This window comes from Homo sapiens, chromosome 1 (assembly GCF_000001405.40).
Source record: "Homo sapiens chromosome 1, GRCh38.p14 Primary Assembly".
NCBI lineage: Eukaryota > Metazoa > Chordata > Mammalia > Primates > Hominidae > Homo > Homo sapiens.
Window position 1 is genome coordinate 156594301 of NC_000001.11, and position 7180 is coordinate 156601480.

Consider the following 7180-nt stretch of genomic DNA (forward strand, 5'->3'; position numbering starts at 1 on the left):
TGAGTTGTGCTGTCCTTTACACAATTCTTATTCATTTGGGACACAGACAGGGAGCTACTTCTACTTATCAGTGTAGCAAGACTACAAAGAGGTTAACCGAAGGAATTTCTTCAAAGGCCTCCAAGGAATATCTTCTAATTTGTATTCAGGACCTTCCCAGGCTGGGAACAGAGATGCCAGTCAGGATTTATCTCTAGGCTAGGAGCGCAAGCTCATGTTTATTCATTCATTTGGTAGCGCTAGAAACTGGCAACTGTGGGCTAAATCTAGCCCATAGACCTAAATTTATGTTTTTCTTAACCTTCACAATATTTAGAAATCAGAGCACTTCACATAGGTCTACATTTTCAGCTTCTTTTAGCAGGAATGCTCCTTCAAAGGGTATCTGCATTCCTGTTCCCACAGCCCCCAGCATTCCTTGTCCTTTAGCTGCCTGGCTTCTCTAGGCACCTGAGTTCATGGTCCTGGGTTAGAAGCTGCAGAAAGGACTGTGCTGACTCCCTCAACTAAGGGGTGGTACTACCGCTTGCTCCTCTCAGCAGCTGACGTCCCAGAGATCAGTTTCCTTTCTGGGAGGGACTCCTCATTGAGGGGGGTGCAGAAGACCTGCAGACCTGCATCAACCCTGGTCTTTGAGGCTTCAACTCCTGAAAATCAATCAATTGAGCCCTACCTTTACCAGACCTTTAGTCTCTCTTCTTCTGTTTCTTTTTGGCTTTCTGGACAGTGCTGACTCCAGCTCTTTCCTTCTTGGGATGCTGCTGCCTCTTCCTCTTACCTCTGCTGCTTGAGCCAGTGTGTGCTCTGCTCTCTGCTTCCCTAGCCCCGCCATCCTTCTCATCCCTTACATCCAAGATGTCCTCCTCCTCTTGATGCTGCTGTCTTTTCTTCTTGCTTTTCCTGCTTCTTCCATCACTGCATGCTCTGCTCTCTGCTTCCCTGGTTCCACCACCTAAAAGTTTCCTCACCTCTATCTTCTAGGTTCAAGTCCTCCTCCTCCTGTTGCTGCCTCTTCTTTCTTCGGCTGCATGGGTCAGCATATGCCCTGCTCTCTACCTCCTCTGTCCTGACACTGCCTGCAGCCTCCTTGCCTTTTCCTCCTTCCTCCAAGACCCCCATCTTCTCCTCTTCATGGTGCCACCTCTTCTTTTTCTTCCCTTTCCTGAGGGACTGATTGGTTTGCTCTCTGCTATTCAATTCCCCAAGCCCACTTGTTCCTGCAGCGTCCTCCTTCTCATTCCCTTTAGTTGTACCCTCTCTTTCATCTGAGACCTTTCCTTCTTGATGTCGCCTTTTCTTCTTCTTGCTTTTTCTGATGTTCTGCTCAGCATGTTCTGGGTGCTTCTCATCTGCATCATTCCTTTCAGATGCTGTAGCTTCTTCCTCCTCTTTCTGCCTCCTTTTCTTTTTCTTTTTTTTGGGGGGCTTGCTCTCTGACTGCAGTTGAGGGGCCCCAGGGTCCTGGCCTTTGAGACGAGCCAGGAAGGCCTGCTCCTGGGCCTCTAGGCGAGCAAGCTTGGCCTTCATTGTGATCCCAAGACGGGCAGCCCTGAAACAGACAGGGTCCAAGTCAAAGCGAGGGTATCGGGGGAAATGGGCCTAGTCCTTAAGCCTGCAGGGAAAGTTGGTGGAGGGTAGGAGTGGGGAGCTGCCTATCTTCAGGCAATAGATGGGTAGGTAATAGGAATCATTTCCCTGGGGTAAAAAGAACCAAGAGGTGGCACAGGCCATGGTCAAAGGTGGGGAGAAAAGGGAGCTCAAGGAGCTGACCACTACTTACTTGTGTGCTGTTCGCCCCTCACAGGCTTGGAGCAGCATCTCATCAGTCAGACTGTTAGGGGAGATCAGCAGTTACAAACAGACCTGGTGGAAAGGCTTGACCTCTCCTCCTTCTAAAACATTCCTTCAACACTGAATTCTTGTTCAGGACCTGGCACTTTTTGAGGTACTAGGGATACAAAGATTAGTACAACACAGTTCCACCCACCCCCAAGAAGCCCCCAGTCAAGCATTAGATTTAGCCCTTTCTCTTGCCATCTGAAGACATCTCTTCCCACATTCCCCAAGAGCTAAAATGAAGTCTCACATCTTTGGGGACTTGGACCCCTGGTTGTCGTCATCACTGCAGCTCTCCAAGTCTTTGTTTGGCTTCTCTCCACCTGAAGTCAATGTAGCCATCTAGGAGGGGTCATGGGGGTAGATAAGGCCTTCTCAACACCATCACCATCCCTATTCCCTTGTGGAAGCCCCCTAAGAATTTATAGCTCCAGGCAGTGGTTTGCCAGCCCCCACCATTGCTCCTTGAGGAGCCACAGGGAGGTGTGCCATCCTGCATACTCGAACTTGGATAGGAGATGGGCTGCTGCTGCTGGGATGTGCAGCAGCTTTGGCCTCTCTCACCCACAGCTGGCTGGTGAGCAGAACAAGAAGAGGAAATGCTCTGGTTCATCAGGTCTTCACAGTGGACAAGTGCCAGTGACTGACAGTAAAGATGCCCCGCTCCACCCCGACCATAGTACCTGTTCACAGTACCTTCATTTAATCAGATTAATTGAGAGTCTACTATGGGCCAAGGAGTTGGGGATTCAGAGTGGAATAAGAATGAGATGGGCCCAGCCCAGATGGAATCTACATAGGCAATTATGATGGAAGTGTTGCCTGTGATAGAGGAAGGGTACTCAACTCAGACTTCAGAGAATGGCTTCTAAAAGTAACTGATGTATAAGCTGAGCTCTGGAGGATAAGAGAAACTCAGAAGGTAAAGGGGGAAAGGGAGAAGAATGTCCCAAGCAGAGGGAGCAACATGTGCAATAACCTGAAGATGGAAGACTGTCGTACCTTCAAAGAAAAGAAACAGATTGGAATCTGTTATGCTAATGGTTAGGCTAAAGTAGTGGTCCTGGAGAAAAGTGAAGAGATGAGGCTGGAGATGGCAGGAACAGGCATGCAGAGCCATATAAGCCAGTCCGATAAATCTGGATTGTGTCATCCTAGGTCAAACAAGACCCAGTGACATGATGACATTTATGTTTTAGAGAGAACACTGGATGCTTTGTGGAGAAGTCCATCCTCCACAAAGGTTGGGGTGGGGAGTGAGACTACAGGTGTTCTTAGGAGGCTGCTGGAGAAAGAAATTAGGCAAGAGATGATGATGGCCCGAAGTGGGGTAGTAGATGGTAACAGAGATGTAGAGAAATGGGAAAGATTTGCTAGGTAACATGTATAGCCCTTAGCACATAATGACCATTACATGTTAGCTTCCTCCTATTGGTACAGTAGAAAGTGGAGGCCTGAAGTCCTGGGTTCCAGTCCTGTTTGCCATTACTAGCCAGCTGTGGGCTCTTCAGCAAACCACTTTTCACCCTTTTAGCCACATCTGCAAAGCAGGGATGGTCCAGATAATCTCTCAGGTCTCCTCTGGCTTCTAAGTCCTTTGAATTAGATGTCCCCTGGCCCCCCCAAAATTTGGCAGCTCCTGACTTAAGAGACTGTACCCTACCTCCCACGCCCTATTGCTGCTCCCTTAACAGATGGCAGGATCCACGGAACCTGAAGATCTCAATTCCTGCTGAGGGTCTGGGCAGTCTAAGTAAGCAACAGCAAGGCTGGTCACAGGATCCCACTATGTTAGGAAAGTTCTGAGAATTGATAAGGCATACAAGGCAACTGTTCAGGCCCCAGGGAAACCAGGGAAGAGAAAAAGGATGGACTCTGTTACCCACAGCCTCTAATACCTTCACAAACTTCTGATACAGCAAGTTGGGCTTGGGATGATTATAACGGGTGGTCTCCTTAGAAAGGCTCCTTATCTGTACTCCATCCTGTAGAGAATTATCAGTACCAGTGAATGGGTGACATATCATGACTGCCTACGCCACAGGTCCCAGGCCCTCTGTTTCATGTGCCCATCTATCAAGAGCTCATACCTGCCCAGTTTCCACTACCAAGTTGGCCGCAGTCTTGTTGAAGAGCTCATTCCACCAGTGGTTTGTGAACTCCTTGGCAGGGTCATGTCCTACCTGCCAGGGGAATAAATATGAGCTCTGAGTGCCTGCCTCACCTGCCCTCAAGGGTCCCCTCTCCCACACATGCTAACCTTCCTCAGTCCACCCAGTCTTACCCCATGAGTGTCTTGCTTCAGTGTCACCCTGAGAGCCTGAGTGATACCATTCTCCTTCCGGCCGAGGCCTTTGCCTGCAGAGGACAGTGAGCGATTTGGCTTATTCTCCTGCCTGCTGTGAGACCTCACAAGGCACCCCCCACACAGGCCTCTTGCCATTCCACACACCTGACATTGGGGTATACTCTGTACCTCTCAGAAGACCTCCTAGCGCACTTCTTTCTAGTACCACTCCATATAGTCCCCTGCCTTTGTGTGAGCCTGAACTATCTCTTCCTTCAAATTCTTTTGGTAGAGAGCCCATATCTCTTTTTCCCTCCCCTAGTCCTCCCAACCACCACTTCTTCATTATCCACTGTCAAATTTCTTCCTTTCTTCCCTTTTCTGGGAAAGTTAGAAATTTTCTTCTGCAAATTTCCCTTTAAACTAGCTTTTCCTCCTTTAATTAAATGGACTACATGGGGGGGTAATCCAGGATGATGGCTTTCCCCTGGGCAGATGGTAGGCAGGGAGCTGGGGGATGTGGAAGAGGCCCCATGGGGATCACCTTGAGTCCATCCATGCTTTAGCAGCTGCTCCTCAGCAAACTTCATCCCACGACTCTTGACCTCTGGGGTGACATTCATGGTGAGAAAAAAGTCTCTATCCTCAGACTCTCACCAGAGAAGAAGAGGTGATATCATCCTTTTAAGAAGAAAGTAGAAAGTGCCCAAACAGCCATCAGTTCCATCCTGACTGCTTGTTAAGAATTCTCTGCTAGTTGGGTGCAGTGGCACACACCTGTAGTCCCAGCTACATGGGAGGCTGAGGCGGGATTGCTTGAGTCCAGCCTGGGCAGTATAGCAAGACCCTCTCTCATAAAAAGAATAAAGCGGCCAGGCACAGTGGTTCACATTTGTAATCCCAGCACTTTGGAAGGCCAAGGTAGAAGAATCACTTGAGCCCAGGAGTTCCAGACCAGTGTGGGCAACGTAGTGAAACCCTGCCTCTAGAAAAAATAAAAAATTAAAAAGAAAGAAAAAAGAATTCTCTTTCCTGAGCCAGAGACAGAGGAAGGAGGTGGCCTGGTCTTTGGGGAGCTCCCTATCTGGCTACAGAAAGAGCATATAGAGAAGTCAAGGAGGAATGGTGTCAATTCTGATACCTAAGTTTATGGTGTGCTCACCACATGCCAGGATGTGCTAAGACTTTACAAAGATTATTTCATTTAATCTTCCCAGCCCATTCAGGGAAATATTAGCCTATTTTACAAATGAGTAAAGTAAGGCCTAAAAAGGTTAAGTGACTTCAAGGTCACACAGGTAACATGTAGAATTCAAGCCCAGGCAGCTTGTCTGCAGAATCTGTACTGTACCACTACATAGTATCTCCCAAAATATATTACCTTGTAAACACAAAGCTAATGAGGTGCTTATTAACCTGAGTCATAAGATAATGGTACTCGGTAGAGACCAGATCCTGTACTTATGCTTCAGCATTTACACTGTCCTCTTGGTGTGGGGGCTACACACTTCTCCCACACCACTGCAGTATTTCAGTCTGGCTGGAGTTCCCCTTTTGAAAGTGTCCAACTTAGGAAGGGCACTCCTATTGAGCACTTAATGCATAACAGGTGGATTACACATATTGCCACACTGTCATATTAACTCAGTCAATCTTTTTTTTTTTTTTTTTTTTGAGACAGGGTTGCTCTGTCGCCCAGGCTGGATGGAGTGGAGTGCAGTGGCACGATCATGGCTCATTGCAGCCTCAAACTTCCAGGCTCAAGCAATCCTCCCACCTCAGCCTCCCAAGTAGCTAGGACCACAGGCACATGCCACCACGCCTGGCTAATTTTTGTATTTTTTTTTGTACAGACAGGGTTTTGCCATGTTGCCCAGGCTGGTCTCTAACTCCTGGGCTCAAGCGATCTGCCTACCTCTGCTTTCCAAAATGCTGGGATTACAGGCGTGAGCCACTATGTGTGGGCTTAACTCATTTAATCTTGATAGTCCTGTGAGATAGATATTATTCTTATTTTACAAATGAAGAAAACAAGGCCTGGGTTTCTTGCCTAAGGTTACATGGCTAGTAAATGATGGAGCTGGAATTACATGATGGAGGTGGAATGAGCCCAAGTCGCCTGACTCCAAAGTGGTCCTCTGTCTTTCTTTTTTTTTTCTTTTTTGATACGGAGTCTCACTCTGTCACCCAGTCTGGAGTACAGTGGTGCGATCTTGGCTCACTGCAACCTCCACCTCCCAGCTTCAAGCGATTCTCCTGTCTCAGCCTCCGAGTAGCTGGGACTACAAGGCTCATGCCACCATGCCCGGCTAATTTTTGTATTTTTAGTAGAGATAGGGTTTCCCCATATTGGCCAGGGGCTGGTCTCGAACTCCTGACCTCTGGTGATCCACCTGACTCGACCTACCAAAGTGCTGGGATTACAGGCGTGAGCCAAGGCACCCGGCCAAAAACTGATGTTCTTCATCACTACACTCTTCAGTCTCTTACAGCTCTTTGTGCTTTCTCCTGTAAGACCACACACAGCCTAACCCTTGTCGCAATAATTGAAAACTACATGCCCTGGAAGTTAAGAGACCGGCTTTATTCCGCCACTCCAGAGCACGTAACGCGGCGCCAGAACTCAAGAATACATTCAGTCGTTATTTGTTGAACTGAATGGCATAGTTAGGAATGGCTTTACCGGATTTTCAGTGGATAACTGGGTAGAAGCTGTGCGCCCCAGTCTTTCTGAAACCTGTGATCACACTTCGGGCACTGTCCCCTCTACAGTCAATCTGTGTTTTCAGAAGTGGCCCCAGGTTCACTCGTCTTACAGCAGTCCTAAAGAGCCGGCTGCCCTTTCCCTAGGCTTCCTTGCTCTTGAGGGCTAAATTCCAGCCCTCCTACCCCAGTGCCACTTGGGTAAAAATACTCTGCTCCTCTCACGTTTGCTAATAAGCCCGGGCTCCGACTACCACCGTTCGGGGGAAGGGAGCCCCTTACCGTCATTGCTGGGTCCGCTCCGCGGAAACATGTGCCGGACCTGACTTGTGCGCCGCCATCTTCCCGGAAATG

The 7180-nt window shown here is 48.5% G+C and overlaps 1 protein-coding gene across 2 annotated transcripts; it reads right to left on the reverse strand.

Annotated features, from left to right (window-relative positions):
* On the reverse strand, positions 1-7179 carry GPATCH4 (G-patch domain containing 4 (gene/pseudogene)). Of its 2 annotated transcripts, none has more exons than NM_015590.4 (8): positions 7109-7179; positions 4668-4730; positions 4121-4194; positions 3927-4019; positions 3735-3821; positions 2087-2178; positions 1781-1831; positions 1-1549 (listed from the first exon to the last, which is right to left on the reverse strand). In NM_015590.4, exons 1-8 carry the CDS (start codon positions 7137-7139, stop codon positions 913-915), a joined length of 1128 nt encoding a protein of 375 aa, NP_056405.2. In that variant the 5' UTR covers positions 7140-7179; the 3' UTR covers positions 1-912. The 2 variants fall into 2 exon arrangements, with proteins under 2 accessions (NP_056405.2, NP_872620.1); NM_182679.3 differs by having other exon boundaries at positions 4668-4804.
* Between the last annotated feature and the right edge of the window lies 1 nt (position 7180).